The sequence below is a fragment of the Homo sapiens genome, chromosome 3 (genome assembly GCF_000001405.40).
Source record: "Homo sapiens chromosome 3, GRCh38.p14 Primary Assembly".
NCBI lineage: Eukaryota > Metazoa > Chordata > Mammalia > Primates > Hominidae > Homo > Homo sapiens.
This window is the reverse complement of record NC_000003.12, coordinates 63703539-63727955: the sequence shown is the minus strand read 5'-3', so window position 1 is coordinate 63727955 and position 24417 is coordinate 63703539. Positions and strand designations below refer to the sequence as shown.

Genomic DNA, 24417 nt, shown 5'->3' with positions numbered 1-24417 from the left:
CCCTCTTCTTACTTACCTTCCGAAGTCAAAGCTAGTGGTGTGGATGCTTAGCAGAGAAGGTTAGGTCGACTCTTAAAGGCCACTTATTATAATACTAGGCTTTTCTAGTTAGGGCTGCAGAGACTGAAGAAGCCCATGGGGCTGAGGGCACAAATTTAATGAATTGGGTAAAAGCCAAATTCTTCACATAGTGGGTGTGTAATAAGTGACATGGAATAAACAAAGGAAGGGTAAGCAATTTATCATGAGAAACCAAAGGAACACTTCCATTTTCAATCCAGCCCAATAGATAGACAGTTAACTAGATGGCAGGCAGGTTCCATTTCTCATTGGCATACCTGCTTTTTGGTTTTCTTCCAGACCCAGTTGATTTTCAGGTACCACCATGATATTGCAATTATAGGTCTTACTCATTGGCCCCTGTTTCTAATGTAGGGTTGCCAAATACCTAGCACAGATGCTGCTGTTCTGCACATGGACCATGGCAGGCATTGCTAATGGGCTGTAGCATGCCTATTTGCTGAGTATGGATGCACCCTGTGGTATATATGTGAAGGTGTGAAATCCAGATTCCCTTTCAAGGAAGGCCTTGATGTCCAGCTGTAGGGAGTGTGGTTAGCAGCCATTCCAGATGTCAGCAACTTTAAGTTTAGCCTCAGCTACAGTGCACTCCCTGACTGAAAGTCATGCCTCTCCTGGAACAGCATTCACCTAGTGACTGAGCCAGGTGGCTGCTAGGTGAGGGGGTTTATAAAGACCCAGCTCTTCCTTCTAATGGGAAATACCAGTACCAGCTCCAGAGCTCTTCTCCAGGGTGGCCGCGGTTTTGTCAGACTTGAATTGTGTTTGTCTTCTCCCTCTGCCAAAACTTCTCCCTTTGCAACCATTGATCCCTAATAAACATCTCCTACCTCAAACACCATCTCAAGATCTGCTTCCAGAGAACCAATCCTAGAAGTCACTACCAACAGATTGGAGCTGGCTTGCAGAAGGAAGCTCACTTTGCCTGCCTGTCCTAAGGCGAGGGTTCACTGATAGGTGATACACTGATACAAGATACTAAGAACATTCAGAGAATTCCTTTTGGCCTGTTGGCCAATGGGGGGAATACAGCCAGATACCAGTGATATGGCTCACTTTAGCAAAAAAAAAAGTAGGCCTTCTTTCAAAGCATCGAAGAATTTCTTTCATTGTCGAATATACAGTTTCTCAACCTTGGCACTATTAACATTGGCCTGACTGTTGTAGTGGGCTGTCCTGTGCCTTGTAGGAGGCTTAGCAGCATCCCCGGACTCTACCCACCAGCTGCCAGTAGCACCCACTTCCCACCAGTTGTGACAACCAAAATTGTCTTCAGGCATTGCCGAAAGTCTCTTGAAAAGCAAAGTCTACCTGGTTGATAACCACTGGTCTAAGAGTTCTGCCTGCAGTAGCAGCCTCTTGGTAAAGTAATCTAAACCCTTAGAATGTTTGTTTGTTTGTTTCTTTTTTTGAGACGGAGTTTCTCTCTTGTTACCCAGGCTGGAGTGCAATGGCGCCATCTTGGCTTACAGCAACCTCCGCCTCCCGGGTTCAAGCAATTCTCCTGCCTCAGCCTCCCGAGTAGCTGGGATTACAGGCATGTGCCACCATGCCCGGCTAATTCTGTAGTTTTAGTAGAGACAAGGTTTCTCCATGTTGGTCAGGCTGGTCTTGAACTCCCGACCTCAGGTGATCTGCCCACCTCAGCCTCCCAAAGTGCTGGGATTACAGGCGTGAGCCACTGCACCTGGCAACCCTTAGAATGTTTTGAAATGCTACTTGGCAGGCTTAGATCCTGATCTGAACTCTTATCTCAAGAAAGTGGGAAATGGCTACTTGAATTAATCATCACCAAAACAGAAGAAGGTCAATTACCTGTTTAACACCTTCTTTGGCAACCTACCCCAAAACCTGTTTCCTAGTTAAGGATGTTGAATTTCTAACAAGGCTGCTGGCAGCTGTGCCAAATCTCAGGCTAGCTCTCCGACTCCCATATCTCCATCCTGGGGAAGGCCCCCTCACCCCCAGTGGCTTGCAGGTGGGTGGCGGTTTCTGTTTACACATTGCAGGAGGCTACATTCCTCATGCTGTTGATAGCACTGAGGGCAGCAGATTTTCTGTCCTTGGGACTATGTGAGCTTGAAAGGGCCAAAGTCATTTACTGAAAAGCTAAAGAAATAATGGGTTTCATGGGCACTTCCCAAAATAATTAGCACTTAAAGACTGTTGGAATGTTTGGGATCATATATGAGTGTATGTATGTGTGCACAGGCTTATTTAAATATTCAGTCATTACTTTTCTGTACAAGTAATACATACCTACTGAAGAAAATTCAAAACTATGAGTGAACTAAGAGCAGAAAAATTAAAAATCATGCATAATTTTACCATCTAATGATAAATATAATTTATATTTTGAAAAGCAATCTTCTGAATTACTTTCCTTTAATATAAATATATGAAATATGCATTTTATGATGAAAGTAGGATCATATTGTGATATTGTTTTGCAACTCTCTTTGTTCTACTTATAAGTTTAGGCTGAGCCTATATTTTTTGCATCTCTACATTCTTTTTTGATGGGGGGTGATTGCTGTGCCTTCATTTACAATGAAACCTTCTGAAGGAGGGAGATTTTTCTTATGACTAACCCCACTCTGATTTTCAGAGGGGGTAAATCAAGGCTAGGAATGTGAAGTATGCTGACCACATTTCTGGCTGCCTCACCAGCACCCACACACCCAACACCGCTCCTCACACCCTCGCAATCCTGGGGAGGGAGGGCTAATGCTGACTCACTTAGCTCTGCCTAGAATCCTGAATCCTGAAGGAAATCACCACTGATAATATAATAGCTGTACAGGAGCTTCAAAACAGCATCCGCAGTAGTCAGCACAGAGCCTGTTAATGCCATTACATAATACCTATCAATTGATAGGATTTACAAGGTAATAGAATGACAACTTTTCTCATAAAACCAAACTTTTCCTATCTTTCAAGGTAAAGCTTTTAATAAATGTGCTTTGGGCTGAACTTTGAGAGCCTGTTTGCATCAAGAATGGCAGATTGACCTGTGAGATTGTTGCAAAGAGTTTCCATGAGGCACAGGGGCGATACAGTTCCTTTTCACAGTTGGCAGTTGGGAGCTAGAATTGCTTTAGCATTAATTATTCCTGTGACCTTGGGCCAATCACTTCCTCTCTCTGTACCTCCATTTCTTCCTCAGTACAAATATTCTTCAAAAAAGCGAAAAAAAAAAAAAAAACCACCCCAAAGCGAGTACTTATCTGGCTCTTTCTCTGAGCAAAACAGTCTGGTGCTGGAGACTCAGCAGTAAGATAGATGTGCTGTGTGTCTTCAGGGAGTTAAGTGTCCACAGCTGGGCTGTCCATTACGAAGCCATTGGCTGCGTGACAGTACCGAGCCTTGAAATGGGGTTGGTCCAAATTTTATTGCGCTGTAAAGTGTAAAATACACACTGGATCTTTAAAACTTAGTGTGAAAAAAATGTAAAATATACCTTTAATAGTTTTTTAATATTGATGACACATTGAAATGGCAACATTTTAGATATTGGGTTAAATAAAGTAAATGATAAAAATGAATTTCATCGGCTTCCATTCATTTTTTAAAAAATGTGACCATGAGGACATTTAAAATTACATTTATGGCTCACATGACAGTTCTATCGGGCAGTGCTGGTCTAAAGGGGAGACACAAGGAATACAACATAGGCATCCAAGTGCTTGGTTCCAATGGTGCTAAGTGCTGTGAAGTACAGGGTGCAGTGGAGGTAGTCAGGAGAAGCATGGGACCTCCTCCCAGGGGTTCCTCAAAGATGAGAGAGTGAGCCAGGTAAAGAGAAAGCTAAGGGTAGGAGGGGAGGGACCTTCCTGACAAAAACAATAGCAAATATGAGTCGGTAAGTTTGAGAAAGAGAAGGAGGGCTGGGGTGGCTGAGTACAGCAGGGAAAGGGAAGACATGGAGAGGGCTGTGGAGGCCCATTTTCTTTCTTTTTTTTTATTTTTTATATTTTTAAGTACTTTATTTCTTCTATACAAACCAGCCAACTTCTTCACACTATGAGAAACAGATAATTAGTCTTTGCCTGTATACAGGATTCATGTAATACCTTTCAATTAAGAGTTAGTGTTCTAAGGAGGAAGCTCACCTATGGAGGAACTTGTATGTATCCATTTTTCCATTAATGAAAGTTCAGCCTCTCATTAAGTTTTAAAATTTTGATTGCCTAGAAACCCACTACTAAAATTAGTGTAAAACTGTGTTAGTTATTGTCAGTATTAGTTTAGACTTATTTCATATAGTACGTAAGTTTTAACTTTTTATCTCTGTTATACAGTCTAATTACTTACATTTCTTTTATTTATTTATTTATTTATTTTGCCTGTTGAAAGCATCTATTTTAGAAAAATTTTTTTCAACTTTTACTTTAAGTTCTGGGGTACATGTGCAGGATGTGCAGGCTTGTTACATAGGTGAACGTGTGCCGTCATGGTTTGCTGCACAGATCATCCCATCACCTAGATATTAAGCCCAGGATCCCTTAGCTATTCTTCTTGGTGCTACCTCATAACCCCTCAACCCCTGACAGGCCCCAGTGTGTGTTGTTTTCCTCCATGTGTCCATGTGTTCTCATCATTCAATTCCCACTTGTAAGTGAGAACATGCAGTGTTTGGTTTTCTGTTCCTGTGTTTGTTTGCCGAGGATAATGGCTTCCAACTCCATCCGTGTCCCTGCAAAAGACATGATTTCATTTGTTTTTATGGCTGCATAGAATTCCATAGTGTATATGTACCACCATTTTCTTTATCCAGTATATCATTGATGGGCATTTAGGCTGACTCCATGTTTTTGCTATTGTGAATAGTGCTGCAATAAACACATGTGTGCATGTATGTTTATAATAGAGTGATTTATATTCCTTTGGATATATACCTAGTAATGGATTCCTGGGTCAAATGGTATTTCTGCCTCTAGGTCTTTGAGGAATCACCACATTGTCTTCCACAGTGGTTGAACTAATTTAAACTCCTATCAACAGTGTAAAAGCATTCCTTTTTCTCCACAACCTCACCAGCATCTGTTGCTTTTTGACTTTTTAATAATAGCCCGATAGGCATGAGATGTTATATCATTATGGTTTTGATTTCCATTTCTCTAATGATCAGTGATGTTGAGCTTTTTTTCATATGTTTGTTGGCCACATGTATGTCTTCTTTTGAGATGTGGCTGTTCATGTCCTTTGCCCACTTTTTAATAGGATAGTTTGCTTTTTCCTGTAAATTTTCTTGAGTTTCTTGTAGATTCTGGATATTAGACCTTTGTCAGATGGATAGATTACAAAACTTTCTTCCCATTCTATCGGTTGTCTGTTCATTCTAATAATAGTTTCTTTTGCTGTGCAGAACCTCTTTAGTTTAATTAGATTCCATTTGTCAATTTTTGCTTTTGTTGCGATTGCTTTTGGCATTTTCATCATGAAATCTTTGCCCATGCCTATGTTCTGAATGGTATTGCTTAGATTTTCTTCTAGGGTTTCTATAGTTTTGGGTTTTACATATAAGTCTTTAATCTATCTTGAGTTAATTTTTGTTTATGGTGTAAGGAAATGGCCCAGTTTCAATTTTCTGCATCGGACTAGCCAGTTCTCCCAGTACCATTTATTAAATAAGGAATCCTTTCCCCATTGGTTGTTTTTGTCAGGTTTGTCGAAGATCAGATGTTTACAGGTACACAGTCTTATTTCTGAGTTTTATATTCTGTTCCATTGGTCTATGTGTCTGTTCTTGTAACTGTACCATGCTGTTTTGGTTACCATAGCCTTGTAGTATAGTTTGAAGTTGGGTAGCATGATGCTTCCAGCTTTGTTGTTTTTACTTAGGATTATCTTGGCTATTTGGGCTCTTTTTTGGTTCCATATGAATTACATTTTTTTTCCTAATTCTGTGAAGAACGTCAAGGGTAGTTTAATAGGAATAGCATTGAATCTATAAATTACTTTGGGTAGTATGGCCATTCTCACCATACTGATTCTTCCTGTCCATGAGCATGGAATGTTTTTCAGTTTGTTTGTTTCCTCTCTGATTTCTTTGAGCAGTGGTTTGTAGTTCCACTTGAAGAGGTCCTTCACTTCCCTTGTTAGCTGTATTCCTAGGTATTTTATTCTTTTTGTAGCAATTGTGAATGGGAGTTCATTCATGATTTGGCTCTTTGCTTGCCTGTTGTTGGTATATAGGAATTCTAGCCATTTTTGCACATTGATTTTGTATCCTGGGACTTTGCTGAAGTTGTTTATCAGCTTAAGAAGATTTGGGGCTGAGATGATGAGGTTTTCTAGGTATAGGATCATGGCATCTGCAAACAAAGATAATTTGACTTCCTCTCTTCTTATGTAAATACCAATACCCTTTATTTCTTCCTCTTGCCTGATTCCCCTGGCCAGAACTTCCAATACTATGTTGAATGGGATTAGTGAAAGAGGGCATTCTTGCCTTGTGCTGGTTTTCAAAGGAAATGCTTCCAGCTTTGGCCCATTCAGTATGATACTGACTGTGGGTCTGTCATATATGGCTCTTATCATTTTGAGTTGTGTTCCTTCAATACGTAGTTTATTGAGAGTCTTTTTTAACATGAAGGGATGTTGAATTTTATCAAAGGCCTTTTCTGCATCTATTGAGATAATCATGTGGTTTTTGTCTTTAGTTCTGTTTATGTGATGAATCACATTTATGGTTTGCATATGTGGAACCAGCCTTACAACCATGGGATGAAGCCAACTAGATTGTGTTGGTTAAGTTTTTTGATGTGCTGCTGGATTTGGTTTGCCAGTATTTTATTGAGGATTTTTGCATCAATGTTCATAAAGGATATTACCCTGAGGTTTTCTTTTTTTGTTATGTCTCTGCCAGGTTTTGGTATCAGGTTGATGCTGGGGAGGCCCATTTTCTAAGGAAAAGAGTTAAGTTTGTTGCCTAAGGTTACATGAAAACTAAGTGGCAGGGGCCAGGGTTCTGACCATGTTCTTTCCTTCTGACTCCAGTTCCCTGTGCTGCTTCTTCAGCTTGGGTTGTGGTAATGAGAATCTGTGTTCCAGGTCTTTTCTTAGGGGGCTGATTTGCGTGCTTTACATCAGAATGTTAAAAAGAAATCCAAAGTGCCCTGTCCCACCTTTCCTCTTCTTGCTATGTTCGTCCCTTTCAAACAAAAATGGTGGGAACTCTGACATCCCAGTCAAAACCACCCAAGCCTTAATTCCTTTTTTCTCTCCTTCCTGACATTGCGTGTTTATACTTAATATCTGAGAAAGACTCTCATGAAGCAAACTAGGGAACATGTGAGGTGTGAAGAGAAGACCTGGATTTCAAACATTTGCTCACCTCAAGTAACTGCTTAGATGAACTACAGCAGAGACCAGAAAAAAGAAGACAAGACCAATTAAACAAAGGAAGGCCTCGATCTTCTCCCCAGAAAATGAGGCAGCTTGGCATGGAAAGTGGCAAGAATAGTGAATTTTAAAGATATTTATTCATCTGCACAATTTAGTTGAGAGTCTACTCTAGGGATCTGCAAACTTTGTCTATAAAGGGCCAGATAGTAAAAATTTCAGCCTTTGTGGGGCCATTACTGTCATTGTGTTGCAATTACACAACTCTGCCATTGCCATTTGGAAAGCAGTCATAAAAGGTAAATAAACAAATGGGCGTGGTGTATTAAACGTTTATGGGTGGACACTGGAATTTGAATTTTATATTCTTTGTGTCATAAAATATTGTGTTTTCTATTTTTTTTCCCAAATATTAAACATGTAAAAACCATACTGAACTCATGAGCTAGATCTGGCCTCCAGATCGTAGTTTTCCAGCCCCTCATTTTACTCTGTACCAGGCACTCTGTGAACAAACAGACACGACCTTTACCCTCACAGAGTTTATATGAAGTTGTTCAGGTTGCTCAAAGTGTGTTCCTTGAAACACACTTTAAATGATGTCTCACCAAAAAAGATATCTATGCTCAATGATATTTGGAAATACTGAATTTAAGCAAAGTGCTTAATTTGCTGCAGGACTTCTCAGAGTCTTTAATATGCTAATGGACATGGTGAATTTCTAAGACGGGAATATGGCAAGACAAACATGCAAGGCCAAATTTATTTGACTATAGACAATTTTACATACATAATACTTTTCACACCGGGTGTTACATGAAACACACTGTGAGAAAACACTCTTCTCTTTTTGACAGGAAAATGAAGTCATTTGCCAAGTTCCCCAGAGCCTGAGCTAAAAGATTAGGTCTGAATCGGAGGTCTCCTTCCTTCCAGCTCCATACTCTATCTCCCAATGACCAGGCAATGTTTTAGAATTACATCCATTTTTTTGATAAGATGGTGGAAATAATAAAGAGAAAGTTCCATTCCGTAATTTTGTAAAGTGCATTGTATTTGTTTTCATTTGCTTATGCAAATCTCTGTTTGGTTGTGTCTGTGGCTTTTAGTCCTTACAGTTCCCCTGACTCCCCTCAAACTCACCCCACTATCAGCTGCTGGATTCATTTTCAATTTCATTCTTCTCAGTTGTATAATTGCTGCTTTAATAATTAAACTTCAAGGCCCATCTGACCCTAAGCTCTTTAGGGCCTGGGCCCAGGATGCTAAAAGCAGTCAAAATAAGACTGGAAACAGCTCCTCTGCATTAAACCAAGGTGTGAGTTGTTTAAAAGCAAACATGAATACTAGGATTTAGTGGGGCCGATTTCTATTAGAATCAGAGAGCCTTTGAAGAAACTAATATAATATGAATGACTTTTGAGGCCTGAGGTGCTAAAAGACATAAGGGTAGCGTCATATCTTATGTGGGAGTTAGTGTTTAAAGTCAGCACATATGGCAAAAATTGTGTAGCATCAAAATTACCCTTGAAAATCCTTTAAATTATCAATAAAGTGCCAAAAAAAGCATCATGTACACTGTAGTCTCTCTCACTAAGCCCAAAAAGCTAAAAAGTGATTTTTCCCTTTCTAGTGTTGAATAAGTTTCTTATTTTTCAGTTTAATAACAGATTAAGTATTGTCTTGCATTTAGGGGCCATGCTGTATAAAAACAATCTTTCCCTCCTTGGTGGTTGACTTACCCTGAGAGATATGCTCCTCTGATGTGGCCTGTTTGCCCTGAAATGTCTTCTCATAAATGACTTTAGATAAATCACCCTGGAAAATGTGATTTTATTTTCCATCTGTCCTCATTGGTAGGGTCTTACATTTCTTTTGTGTTGAAGTTCATTTATCACTATCATAAAGTCCTTGGCATTGTTGTGACATTGTGTGTTCATAGACCCTTTCTGGATGCTCTACCCAGGCACTCAACAAAGATCCTGAGAAGGACATAGGTAAATGTAAGGATAAAGAATATTAGCAAGGTCCATTTCATCTAAATAGAAGAGTTACAATAAACAAATCAAATAAACAAGTTGAAATGAAGTAAGTATCTTAATAGTCACATGGACCCTTCTTAGCCCCCACTCTTCTCTCCACACATACACACAACAGAGAGGAGGAGAAAGAGATTCCATTATTAAAAGGTAAAGTCATTTCTTATGGGATTCAAACACAGGCCTTCTGACTCTAGAGTCCATGTTTCTATTCATATGCCATAGCCTGTACATATCCTGTCTCCCAGAGTCACCAAACGGGACACCTAGATGTGGCTGGAAACATCTCTGGAGCTGCAGCCAAATGCTCCACCATTGACCACCATCTGATTCTGGAGTGATCTCAGACATTGTCTGGTGGATTTGTTGCTATTTGAACAGAATTTTTAGGATTAGAATTAAAAGATAAGGTGTACTTAGGTTGGGCTATGGGTGGGGCTTAAAATGCTGTTTGTGGAAAAGGGAACATCTAAGAAACAAGGGCCTGGAGAAGAGGTCCTCTAGAGAGGGGCCTGCTCTAAATGTATTTTGTTTCTCTAGGGTTGAAGAGCATAGAAGATGTTTTAATTGTGTTTGTTGGATTGAATGGTATTGCTGGGGGACAGTGAACGTTTTTGTTTGGCTGGAGCACAAGGAATATAAAAAAGAATTCAAGGGAAAAAAAAAGGCTGAAAAACAGATGGGGTCAGATCACGGAGGGAATGCTGCTTGTGGGAGGCAGAAAATGACCTCCAAAGATGTCCATGTCCTAATCCCTGGAACTTGTGAACATGTTTGGTGACAAGGCAAAGGAGAATTGAGTTTGCAGATAGAATTAAGATCACTAATTAGTGGACCTTGAGATGGACATATTATCCTGGATTATCTAGGTGGGGACACTGCAAACTGTAATCACATGTTCTTATGAATGGAAGAGGGAGGCAGAAGAGGGAGAACCAGAGAGAGAGCAGCGTGGGGAAGATGCAGCTCATGGTTGGTGACTTTGAATATGGAAAATGGGGCTGCTAGCCAAGGTATTAGGGACTTTTCGAAGATGGAAAAGGCAAAAAAACAGATTATCTCCTAGAACCCCCAGGAGGAACACGGCTCTGCCAACACCTTAATTTTAGCCCAGTGAGTCCCATTTCAGATGCCTGACCTCCAGAGCTACAACGCAGTAAATTTGTACGATTGTAAGCCATTAGAGTTGTGGTGATTTGTTACAACAACAAGCAGGACACAAAACACTGTCCTAAAGTGAGCTTGTTTGTTCTATGAGGTAGAAGTTGGGATAAGCTCAAATTTTTAATAGTCATAGAATCTTACACAAATTACTTTGCCAATTAGAGCAACATGTCCAATGAAAGGTTTTGTGGTGATGAAAATACTCTAAAGCTGTGTTGGTCAATGTGACAGTCACTAGCCACATATGTTTAAAATGTGGCTAGAGTGACTGAGAAACTAAATTTTAAATATGATTTAATTTTAATTAATTTAGATTAAAATTAAAAATAGCCTCATATGGGTAGTGGGTATCATACCAGACAGCATAGTCTCACAGCCTTGGTTCTGTCATCTACAAAGAGGAGGTAATAATAGAACCTATTATATATGGCTGCTATTTATTGATCAATATATGTAAAATAATATTTGGACTATTTTAAGAAGGAAAGAAAGCATTTGCATCCACTTGTGCAAAGACATTTCATTTTATGGAGAGTTGGAGTTAGGCAATACATCACTGGAAAACAAGAACTTTTTTTCATGATTTTCCATGACATTCCCTTTAGCACGCTGAGTAATTTTGCTAGTATGTTGGCTTTTTTCATACATGTCCCTTTCTAGCTTTTAAAATAACACTTGAACTTCTATTCCAGCCGTGTGCATGTGCAGCATTTTTAAGTTTCCCTAAACCGATATCAAGATTTGTCTCCGTTCATATTTACGTTTGGCTGCTGGTCACAAGAGGCAGGCCGCCTACAGCTTGTGTACCAGATCCATGGTGTTTTCAGTGTTCCAGGCTCTCTGTCTTGTTCTGCTCCATCGTCTCCCACATCTAGATTTATTCTTCATCCTCCTTACTCTTTCCAGATACTTGTTCCACTTCCGGCCTTGTGTCATGTTTGGGCAGGCAGGAAGAAGGAGAAGTGCACTTCATTTTGAGACTTTGCTGTTTATTTTGGGAGAAAAGCCCTAACTAGGAGTTTTCATTTCATTGACCAGAGATACATCACATGGACACCATGAGATGCTGAGAAGACTGGGAAAGCATGCAAGCATACATTGTACTTTCTAGCCTCTAGAGCAGAGGAAGGGAAGATGGTTGGGGTGGGTGTTGAATAAGTGAACTTACAATATCTGGCACAGGGCTTAAACAATTAATTCAAGCAATAGTCACCAAATGTTTAAGATGTATTTGAATATGATGAGTTTAACCTCTTTGAGCCTCAGTTTATCCACCTCAAAAAGGAGAAGGACAATATTAACCTCCTTTCAGTATATGTAAAAGGATTTTTCAAACTATATGGTGATGGAAAATTAAGGAGTAATGATGATCTGATTTACTATTTTAAATATCTCCTTTTAAAATACTTTTTACATTATCCTCATGAGCTAAGATTAGCCTCTTTTACAATCGTCACATTAAGCCTATTAATAGCTGGTTTAATTAGAGTCCAGTATCTTAATTTGGGCTCCTTAAAAGCAGAGTCTAAGATGTGGATTCTTGTGCAAGAGGTTTATTACAGTGGTGCCTCAGGTGGGATCTGTAAGGGAGGGAACGAAGGGTAAGTGTATTAGTCAATTTTCATAGTTCTATGAAAAATATCTGAGACTGGGTAATTTATAAAGAAAAAGAGGTTTAGTGGACTCACAGTTCCATATGGCTGGGGAGGCCTCACAATCATGGTGGAAAGCAAAGGAGAAGCAAAGTCACATCTTACAAGGCAGCAGGCAAGATAACGTGTGCAGCAGAGCTGCCCTTTATAAAACCATCAGGTCTAGTGAGACTTATTCACTATCAGGAAACAGCACAGGAAAAATCCGCCCCTATGATGAAATTACCTCCCACTAGGTCCCTCCCCTGACACATGGGGATTATGGGAGCTACAATTTAAGATGAGATTTGGGTGGGAACACAGCCCCCCCATAGGTGCATAGATTATTATTATTTTTTTTTGGCAACGTCCAGCCTGATTTCAGGATATGCTCTTGAGTGTAAGTTGCACTACAGAGGTTGTTCTGCCTAGGTTCTCAGGGCCTGGCTTTTATATCTCCACCTAGTCAGCCATTGGCCACACACTATCCTTGGGAGTGGAGGTCAAAACTCCCAGATATGTTTGGACTAGGCAACCCTTCAGCATCTGGAGACAGACACAGGTATGAGCAATCAGCATCCAATAACTGCAGAAGCTGGGGGATGGTATAGGCCAGAAACAGAAAGATCTGGAGAGAGCATCAATAACCTCTGTGAAAAACGACCTGGGAATAGAGCCATTGTTTACTCTTGTAAGTTGAGAGAACCAGTCTTCTCCTCATTTGTCAGAGAGAGATTTCTTCACCCTTCTTTGCTTTTATGCTTGTGATAAAAAAAATCAGAATTTGATTACTGGAACTTTTGGAACAAAGTTGGGGAGGATGGTCTAATTGCATGAAAAATTATATAACATTCCCAGTGGCAATAATCCTCCTTTTCTACTTTGGCTTTTTCCCTGACCTGAGGATAATATGAGAATCCGGGAAAGTTTTTCTTCTTGCTAATATAGTTCTAGAAATTTGTTAGTATGTGGTGCTTAAAAGAACTGGTGAATAGGCTAGTGAAAAGCAAGGAAGCCTTGTTCTGTAAATACAGGAGGGTGGAGGATGAGTTCTTCTTACTGAGGGTATAACCTGGAATCAAATACAAAAACAGTCATAATAATATTAGTAGTAGATCACGCATTTGGAGCACTTAGCTGTTCTAGGCCTTGTGCACAGAACTCTGCACATCTGTTCTCACTTAACATTTATGACAACTCTACAGAGTAGAATGTATCATTATATAATTGTCCTCATTCTACAGATAAATACATTGAGGCTTAGACAGGTGAACCTGCTTGCCTGAAATCACACAGCTAGTAAGGATTCATTGCAAGAGCCCCTCATATACCAAAGTGTGCACATACTCAAGTCCTGCAGTCAGCCCTGTAGAAACTGCACATACAAAAAGCCCTCTGGATACTGGAGTTTCACATCCCCCAAATACTGTATTTTGCATCTCTGGTTGAAATAAATATACGTATAAGTGGACTCTCACAGTTCAAACTTGTGTTGTTCAAGAGTCAACTATATTGATTGTGTGCTAAGCCCTAGCCTGGGCACTGGGGATAAGATCATAAAATGCTTCCCGTCCTTATGGGGCTTAGAGTCTGGTTTGAGGAGATCGACATTAGGTTTGTGACAATGATACAAAGAAAAACACCATGGTACTATACTATAAGAGTATCCGAGCACACGCTGCTCATCTAGTGTAAGGCTAGAGTGTTTCACGGTGAGCTTCCCTGGGGAGGTAACCTTTTAATTTTTTTTTTAACTTTGTTGAGGTATAATTGACAAACACACTTTTTATACATTCAAAGACTACAATGTGATGTCTTGACATACATAAACTTTGTGAAATCATGACCACAATCAAACTATTTAACACATCCATCACCTTACATATTAACATATTACCCCCTTCTTTTGGTGATGAGACTACTTAAAATTTACTGTCTTAGAAGATTTCTTCTTTTTTTTTTTTTTCTTTGATGCAGAGACTTGCTCTGTCGCCCAGGCTGGAGTACAGTGGCACGATCTTGGCTCACTACAACTTCCGCCTCCTGAGTTCAAGCTATTCTCCTGCCTCAGCCTCCTGAGTAGCTGAGATTACAGGTGCACACCACCACACCCAGCTAAGTTTTTGTATTTTTAGTAGAGATGGGATTTCACCATGTTGGCCAGGCTGGTCTTGAACTCCTGACCTGAAGTTAGCCACCTGCCTTGGCCTCCCAAAGTGCTGGGATTATAGGTGTGAGCCACTGCTCCCAGCTTGTCTTATCAAATTTCAAGTATACCTTATTATTAACTATAGTCATCATGTTTTACATTAAGTCTTCAGAACTTATTCATCTTACAATTACCAATGTAACTTGGCAATTTCCAATAGCCTTTGACAAATATCTCTCCTTTTCTCCCACTCCACCAACCCCTGGTAAGTACCCTTATGCTCTGTTTCTATGAGTTTGAGTATTTTCAGGTTCCGTTTATAAGTGACATCATGCAGTATTTGTCTTTCCGTGTCCGGCTTATTTCAATTAGGATAATGTCATCTGGGTTACCCACATTGTCACAAATGGCAGGATTTTCTTCTTTCTGAAGATGGAATAACATTTCATTGTATACGTGTACAATCTTTTCTTTATCTATTCATCCACTGGTGGACACTTAGGTTGTTTCCATATTTTGGTATTGTGAATAAGGCTGTAATGAACATGATGCCAGGTGTGGTGGCTCACGCCTGTAATCCCAGCCCTTTGGGAGGCCAAGGCAGGCAGATTGCTTGAGGTCAGAAGTTCGAGACCAGTTTGGGCAACCTGGCGAAACCCCATCTCTACAAAAAAATATAAAAATAAGCAGGCATAGTGGCACATGCCTGTAGTTCCAGCTACTTGGTGGGGCTGAGGCAGGAAAATTGCTTGAATATGTGAGTCTAGATTGAGCCACTGCACTCCAACCTGGGTGACAATGTGAGATCTTGTTTCAGAAAAAAAAAAAAAAAACTGTAATGAACATGACAGGGCAGGTATCTCTTTGAGATACTAATTTCGTTTTCTTTGGATATATACTCAAAAAAGTGGGATTGCTGGATCATATGATAGCTATATTTTTAATTTTGGGGGGAATTTCCATATTGCTTTCCATAATGGCTTTACCAATTACATTCCCACCAACAATGTAAAAGGATCCCCCTTTTTTTTCATATCCTTGTCAACACTTATCTTTTCACTTTTTTTTTTTTTTTGAGACAGGCTTTCACCCTGTCACCCAGGAGTGCAGTGGCATGAACACGGCTCACTGTAGCCTTGACCTTCCAGGCTCAGGCAATCCTCCCAACTCAGCCTCCTGAGTAACTGGGACCACAGGTGTGTGCCACCATGCCTGACTAATTTTTATTAGAGACAGGATCTTGTCATATTTCCCAGGCTGGATTTGAACTCCTGGGCTCAAGTGACCCTCCTGCCTTGGCCTCCCAAAGTGCTGTGATTATAGGCATGAGCCACTGCGCCTGGCCTCTTTTGACTTTTTGATAATAGCTATCCTATCTGGTGTGATATGTTACTGCATTATGATTTTATCTTGTATTTCCCTAATGATTGGTGATGTTGAGCACATTTTCATATACTTGTTGGCCACTTGTATGTCTTCTTTGGAAAAAAAATCTATTCAAGTTCTTTGCCCATATTTCAACCAGGTTATTTGTTTTCTTGTTATTAAGTTGTTTGAGTTCCTTATATATTTTGGATATTAACCCTTTATCAGATATATGATTTGCAAATATTTTCTCCTTTTTTATGAGTTGTCTTCCCATTTGGTTGACTGTTTCCTTTTCTGTGCAGAAACTTTTTAGTTTGATGTACTAGTCACACTTATTTACTTTTACTTTTGTTACATGTGCTTTTGGTGTCATATCCAAAAAATCATTGCCAAAACCAATGTCATTGAGTTGTTCACCTACGTTTTCTTCTAGGAGTTTTGAAGTAAACTTTCAATTGTGATGTGAAAGATGAAGACAGAAGGAAGAATGTTCCAGCAAGAGGAAATAGAGAAGACCCTGAGGTGTGAATAGTATGCTCACGGCAACACCTGAAATGTCTGCTTTTGCCCTTGTAGTACTGGGGACCAATAATTTGAAAAAGGTTCAGACCAGCTGAATCCATTCAAAGGAGAGTAATTCAGATGTTCACTATGCATATTGATTTTGTAATCAATAATCATGTAGTGATACCAAGGAGTAAAATGTATAGACAGTATTTCAATATGCCAGATTCCATGCTATGTGCCTTACATAAGGAATTAATTATGCTTCCATAAGTTAGATTACTATTATTGTTCCATTTTACTGATGAGAAAACTGAGGCACAGAGAGGCTTAATAATTTATCCAAGGAAACAGAACTAGTATATGGAAGAGTCATGATTAGACACTAAGCCTTCAGATTAAAGAGTCCACTCTCCAAACCTTTGATCTGAAACCACTTGGTGACTGTGTAGCATGAAAAATAGAGGGAGTGGGGCATAAAGACTGAACTTTACACCAGTCCACTCTTGTTTCACATTTCCCTTCTTAGTAAATGGTGCTGCAATTTGCTTAAATAACCTGGATGTCACCCAGGACTTCTCCATTTACTTGTATACTCATAGTCAACCACTGTCATGACCTGTGGGTTCTATCTCCTGAATTAAAGAGAATTTCCTTATTTCTTTCTATCCCCAGTGCGGCCAGCTGGTTCAGGCCACCATCGTCTCTCTCCTGGATTCCTGTAGCAGCCCTCCAACACATATTCCCACCTTCAATTTCATCCTTCCAGTCCATCCTCCACCCACCCTGATTCTCAAGTGATCTTATTAAAATGTAATTCTCTATGGGCCAATCTTCTATTTAAGTTTCAAACCAATCTTAAACTAATACACAGCACTTACTAGGTGCCAGGCACTCCTTTATGAATCATTCAATTAATTCTTATAACCTCCCTATGATACAGTGCCTTTTTCTTCTTTTAACACAGAATTGGTTTATGCCAGAACCTAGGCAGAAGCTGTAAGCAGGAAATATTTTTCTCTCAATATAAAAAAATTAAAAAATTATTCAAAGGCCTGCCTCTAGTTAAGTATCACTGTGTATTTCAGAGGGTGTAAACATCAAGTCTAACTTCTTGTTGCTTAGATTATTCTAGGATGTAATTCTTCCATCTTGCTAACACATTTCCAGCTCCCAGTGCCACATTTCCCACTGCAAAAGTAAGGTGTTCTATCTTTACTTTTCATCACATGCCTGAATTTCTAGGTTTTAATAGAGGGGGCTGGAAAGAGAGGTGCAAACTCTGGAAAGAGGGCTGAACCAGTCCTCTGGCCTAATAAATGTACAAATTGAGGAAGTAGAATTTTGTAAGTAGTAAATTCTCTCTCTCTTACTCTCTTTCTCTCTCCCCCTACCCCACCCCACATACTGATCTTCCAACTCTTCTCAGCTTCTCCTATATTAGCAGTTCCTTCAACTTATTAAATATTTATTGTTTCTTTAATGGATGTTACTTGTAATTGCCTGGATATTTTCTTCCATCTATCCTCTTCAGAAATATTAATCTTTATACTTACCAAAATCAATAGCCTCAATGTTTGGGGATTTGAAATTAAACATCAGTCTATCGCTCAAACTTAAAAACAGACTCACCTTCAGGAAAGGTGAAATTTAATTTCATTTAGCTGGGCTTGTGGGTTGGAGGAATGTTGGAAATATTTTGGAAATTATTTTTTGCTGATTTTTCTGGGGAAAGAATATGTATTCTCCAGGGCTGTGTCACAGGCAGGAAGCAATGCCTTTTGAAATGAAGACAAGCAGAGCCATTCATCCTGGGCAAATCACAAGCAATCATACTGCTTCCAGCATTCAATTAGATCTGTCACAGCTTTGGTTTAGTAGAAAAATTTGTTATCTTCCCCAATTTGTTGAGTGCTGAGTATTGTTCCAGAGCCTCAGGCTTAGAGACTGGTTGACAACTTTGCGTCACATATTGGAGATCAACCTAAAGTTCTGGCAGAGCCCTGGCGGTGGGGGCATCATAACCCCTTGTGATTAAACAGAGGAGTCTGCTTAATTACGATTAAACAGAGGTCTACCTCACTGTACCACTTGGCTGCATGACCTTGTACAAGTAGCTTAATCTATCTAATCTTGGGTTCTCTAACAAGGATGACAAAATGGTCAACTTCATGGAGGTGCTGTGAGAATATTAAATGGGACAATGTATATAAAGCATTTGGAATAGAAGCTGGTTAGAGTAAATGTTCAACAAATGTTTAATTATTACCAATGTTAACTGTGTTAGTCTGTTAAATACTTGTCTTATTTTCTACTGTATTTCCTGAGCCTCCTCTGATAACATCACATTGTGTCAGCACTCAATAAATATTAATTGAGTGAGTGGATAAGTGAACTGGACAGAGGAAAAGACCTGAGGGACTAAAGCCCAAACAACAACAACAAAAATAATAACAATAATAATTGAGTACTCTCTGTGAGGCATGGTAAATGCATTTGGTCATTCACTAACTCATTCATTCCTCAGAATCATCCTAGGAGAAGGTTATTATTATTACTTTCATTTTACAAATGAAAAAAACTGAGGCCTAGAGAAGTTAAGCCACTCATCTGAGGCCACCCAATAATAAATGCTGGAGGATCTTTTGAACTCAGGTTTGTCTAATTTCAGAGCTGGACTCTATTGCCAAGGCAATTGATGGGCAATAATGGAGCCTCAGGTGTAAATTGGCAAATCGGCCATGTTTTTTTTTTTTGAGATGGAGCCTTGCTCTGTCACCCAGGCTGGAGTGCAGTAGCACGATCTTGGCTCACTGCAACCTCAGCCTCCTGGGTTCCTCCTGCCTCAGCCTCCCAAGTAGCTGGGACTGCAGGCGCGTGCCACCATGCCTGGCTAATTTTGTATTTTTAGTAGAGATGAGGTTTCACCATGTTGGGCAGGCTGGTCTTGAACTCCTGACCTCAGGTGATCAAGTCTGCCTCGGCCTCCAAAAGTACTGGAATTACAGGTGTGAACCACAGCACCTGGCCTCGACCACATATTTTTACAGGGCCTCTTAGTCCTCTCTTCTCCCTCCACCTCTTGTCATTTTCTTCTTTCTCAGGCAAATTCCAGTGAAAGATGCCCAGTTTTGTGTCCTTTCCTTTCATTGTCACATTTGTGTTTAGCTGCAGAGAAATGGCAGTAAAACTGTTGGTGATGGTTTTAGAGTGGCAACACCCGCTTCATTTATTTTGACAAAACAAACCATTTAGTTGAGATGATGCCCTGTGCAGACCTGCAGTGCACATGTTCATATTTGCACTTCTGCTATATATATTATTTAATGCTACAACAACAAAAAGACGATGACAGTAATCATCATAATATTAATTATTTTATTCAACAAATATTTCCTGATCTTCTGTGCCAGGCACTGTTTTGTGTTCAAGGTATATGTACAGAGAGCTGTCAGGGGCCAGGAGTACACATCCTATCAAGGTTACTCTCAGCTAGTGACTGACTAGTGGAGGGCATTTAAAAGCCTGGCTTCCTTTCTTTTGGCAGGGCAAATTCTGAGGAGTAATAGGATCAGTCTAAAACTGCAAGTTTGCTTGATATTGTACCCTATTTAGCCTTTTCTTCTCCCTTTTCTTGATTTCCCTATTCCATTATCAGTTTCTCCTGGGAACACTTTCTTAATAAATCACTCGCAAGTGAATTCTTGTGTCAGGATTTTGTTCTGGAGAATTTGACCTAAGACACACTTTGTGAACTCTGGCCTCATCTTACTGTTTGCCCTGCCACAGATGATAGAAAATTCTTAAGGCAAGGAAATTTCCAGGGCCAGACTCCCTGCTTGAAGCTGAGGAGGAGAAAATTCAGTAAATTATCCCATCCTTTGCAAATGTCTGAAGCCAGCCATTTTCCAAGTGAACTGTCAGGGAGAGGCTGCTGAGTTCAACCATGAGTCAGGGGAAGAGTGTGACATCCTAGCTTGACTGTGTTTGCCATCAAGCCTTAAAGTTATCAGTTAGAAATGGAGAGGAGACCTCTCAATGGTAGGGAGGAACTGAGCTAGAGAGCTTCAAGGGCTTCTAGGAGTCCACACAGGACCCAGATTTATCCCACGATCAAGAACAACCTCATGGGGCCACAGCATTTCACTGAGGGAGAGGAGGCCTTGGGAAGATGCCTATTTTTCTCGGAGGAGGAGTAACTTCAGAATGATAATTATGATTCTTGCAATGCTTCTTTATGCATATCCCTGTGCTTTTTTTCCACCGCGAAATAGCTTTTTACTCTTGAGTTGGTGATGTAGATCACAGATAGGAAGGGAGGGGAAAAAAGCCAAACCTCACTTCTCAATGCAGTGATTTTAACTGGAGCTAAGATACCCTTGAAATTGAAAATGTCACCGGTAACTGACTGTCTGGAATTCATTCCTGTCTTTAGTTCTTTATCTTGTTCCAAGGCTTGCCTGTTCCATAAATAGTCATGTTCTCCAGGGCTTAGTCCCTAGCTGCCAGAGGCACAATGATGGTCACCCAAAGATATCCATGTCCTGATCCCCAAAACCTGGGAATATGTTACCTTACATGGCAAGAGGGCTTTGTGGGTATGATTAAGTATCTTGAGATGGGGGGATATTTCTGGATTATCTGAGTGAGCGAGATGTAATCACAGGAGCCTTTAAGTTGTGTGTGAGAGAGGCAGGAGAGTCAGAGAAGAAAATACGACGAAAAAAGAAGTTGGAGTGAAGCCATTGCTGGGAGGAGACCATGAGCTGAGCAATGCAGGCACAGTCTCCAGATGCTGGAATAGGCAAGGGACAGATTCTCCCCTAGAGCCTCGAAAAGGAATGCAGCTCTGCTGTTGCCTTTATTTTGGTCCCATAAAGCTCATTTCTGACTTCTGACCTCCAGAGCTTTGTTGTGATAATAAATATGTGTTGTTTTAACCACCAAGATTGAGTTGATTTGCTACAGCAGCCATAGGAAACATACACAGGATTTCTGTTCTTCTCTTTCTGGGTGAGCTATTAAAGCCTTGTGGCTTAGATTTCTACCTGTGTGTTGATGATTCCTTACTCTTCATCTCTAGCCTTGGCCTCTTTCTATGACTAAGGCATGTCTCAACTGGGCTCTCCACCTCCATTTCCCCCAGGCACTGCTGACACCACCACATGCATTCTTCATTCCATTACTGGTTGGCCAAATTGTTGAACTGGAAAACCACATTTCTAGCAATGTGTGTTGCATGAGATGGTCTCAGTGGCTTTTGAGGATTTGGGGGTGTGCCTTTGGGAAATGCCAACTTAGTTGTGATTTTTAAATTTCAGAAGAACTGTGAGTTGTGAATGTCATGGAACATAGTGAAGAGCAGTGTGGGTCTCTCTCTGCCAGTTCATTTCCAGTGAAGTCGTCTGCTTCCATGCAATAGAAACCTGGGTATTTTCCCCAATTCCTCACTTTCATCCATTCTTCATACTCAGTGGTGTCTAAGTTCTAGTAATTTTACCTTGTAAATATCACTTGGGTCTTTTCTCTCTTCTTTGTCAGCTTTGCTCTCCCCAGGTCAGGTTCTCATGATAGCTCACTAGAGTTACTGCAGTGTCTTCTATCTGACCTCCCAGTCCCTGGTTCCGATGTCCTCTGATCCATTTGCTCCTGTGGCCTAGGCAGTGAGGACCTGATTTTGTTCTCTTTCCCTAAAACTCCCTAAAGTCTCCTCAGTGTCATATGGAAAAGATTCAAATTTCCTAACAGGTTTTGGATGATCTGGTTCTAGCCCTTTTCCTTCTAATATATTAGGTTGGTGCAAAAGCAATTGCTGTTTTTGCCATTCATTTTAATGGCAAAAATCATTTAGCTCAAAAACTAATTTCCCACTCATACCCTCTTACTTCCCACCCTAGTGTCCTAAACTCTATCCACTTGTTGTCCTTGCTTACACTGAACAGGGATAGCTTTCCCTTCCTCCTTGCCTTTGCTCACACCATTTCTCCTGGTTAATGTGCATTTTCTGGCCTTCTCTGCCTATCTAACTGCTACTAATCCTTCAAGACAGTTAGTCTAGATCATCCAAAAAATGCCAAGGCAAGATTAAACATTCAAATATATATATTTTTTCTTTAGGGGGAAATGCCTGTGTGAAATGAAATTCGGAGGAAGCTGGAAAGGACTGAAGGAGTCATCAGACTGCAATGCAACTCTGATCCAGAGTGAAGGAGACAAGGAGAGAACATTGGATAGTGGGAGTATCTGGCCTGTCTCACAGTTTAAGAAAGGTTAAGCAAAGGCATCATCCCTGAGCCAGCCTTGGCTTCCTGGAATGGGCCTGCCTTAGTATCCCTGCTCTTTTGAGTTATGGGAATGGAGCAGCTTGTGGAGACATGACCTTGGTGTGAGTGCTAGAATGGAGCTCAGAGCAACAGCTGCTGCAGCCTCTGTAATAGGTGTGTAAGGCCACCACAAAGATCGACTTTGTGTCACCTCCTTCAGATGTGCTCTTTCTCTCCCGCGCATTAATTGATTACTTTTTGTTGTTGTTGTTGTAGCTCTTTTAGCCTTATGTGATTGCCTTTGTTATAGCACTATTTTCATTGTATGGTCATTGTTGGTTTACTTATTTGTCTTCTAGGCAGGAAAGTCTTTTAAAACGAGAACATTGTCTTATTTATCTTTCAATTCCTATCCTGGAGTGGGGCACATAGTGGGGGCTTAGGAAAAGCTTTGTGTTTACATAGAGGGAGATGGTGTGCAGGCATCATTCTTAGGTAAGGAAGCTGAGGCTTGGGTGGATGTGCAACGATGCCGGGGTAGTTTTGGGTACACTGTGGATTTGAGCACTGGTTGCCTCACCACCTCAAGCCAAGAATCCTTAGGTTGACCTGGAGGTGGAGACTAATGGATAGCCTTTCTTCACCAGATCATTTCACTCTGGAGTCCAGGAAATGGAATCATGCTTGGAAATATTCAACAAGGAAACGTTGGTACAAAATGAAATAGACTTGGGGTTTATCTAGACATTCTGGGCTCCTGATGAAGTTAAAAAAAAAAGTAAATCTCTTTTCTTTGCTTCTTTGTCTCAGAATCCAGTTCTTGTCTCAGTGTTGTAGCAGCTGCTATTGGTACCCTGGCCATAACTCTCAGCACCCACCTTTATACACAGAAAGTTCCTTACCGTGAATGTCTCCAAATCTATGCCTGAAGGTTTTTTTTTTTTTTTTTTTTTCCTCTGGTTTTGGGAACATGCTTGGCCAAGAGCAAGCCAACAGCAACAAGCTAATGCTCTCAGAAGCTGTTCTCAACCAGTGATGGACAGGGAGCTGGTGGATGAATACTCCCACCTCTCAGTTGGGGTAGCTCTAGGCATATTTTACGCTGTCTCCTGTGGTTTCCCAGCAGGAGTGTGCTCCAGTGGTCGAGTGATGACTTGTTTGATAACATACCATTTATTGGCTTCCTTCCAATTCCTATCTCATTCCTCACTCTCTTATATTTTGGGGACTACTTCCCAAATAAACTACTTGTGTTTGAATCTTTACCTCAGGGTCTATTTCTAGGGAACACAAACCAAGACAAAACTCTAGTTAAAGTGTTACCATGTTTTATCAACATGTCTCTTGTCTAAATTCCCTTGTGAATCTGAAGGGTAATTGTTCTTATTTCCATTTACAGGTGAAGAAAATGAGGCTCAGACAGAAGTGGTGGGGAGTTTGGAGGTCTGGAAGTGATGGTCTGCTTGGTTTCAGACTCGATATTCTTAACCACTTGGCTACCATGTGCACTTTGACAGTAGGTGGACCCAGCTTGAATCATGATTGTGACTTTGGGCATGTTGCCTCATTTTTCTGGCCTTTAAAATGAAGTTAATGATATCAACTGCATAGGGCTTCTTTTTGACTGGGTGGGCAAATATCTATAAAATTTTGAGTATCAGGCTGGGCGCAGTGGCTCGCCCTTGTAATCCCAGCACTTTAGGAGGCCAAAGCGGGCAGATCACCTGAGGTCAGGAGTTCAAGACCAGCCTGGACAACATGGTGAAACCCCATCTCTAATAAAAATACAAAAATTAGCTGGACGTATTGGCGGGTGCCTGTAATCTCAATTACTTGGGAGGCTGAGGCAGGAGAATTGCTTGAACCCGGGA

The 24417-nt window shown here is 40.5% G+C and overlaps 1 long non-coding RNA gene across 1 annotated transcript; it reads left to right on the top strand.

The window, feature by feature from the left end:
* The first annotated feature begins 16169 nt into the window (after positions 1-16169).
* LOC105377119 (uncharacterized) lies at positions 16170-24220 on the top strand. The gene is made up of 3 exons (XR_940902.3): positions 16170-16301; positions 22401-22720; positions 23946-24220. It is a non-coding gene; the product is annotated as an uncharacterized LOC105377119 (long non-coding RNA).
* Positions 24221-24417: the final 197 nt, after the last annotated feature.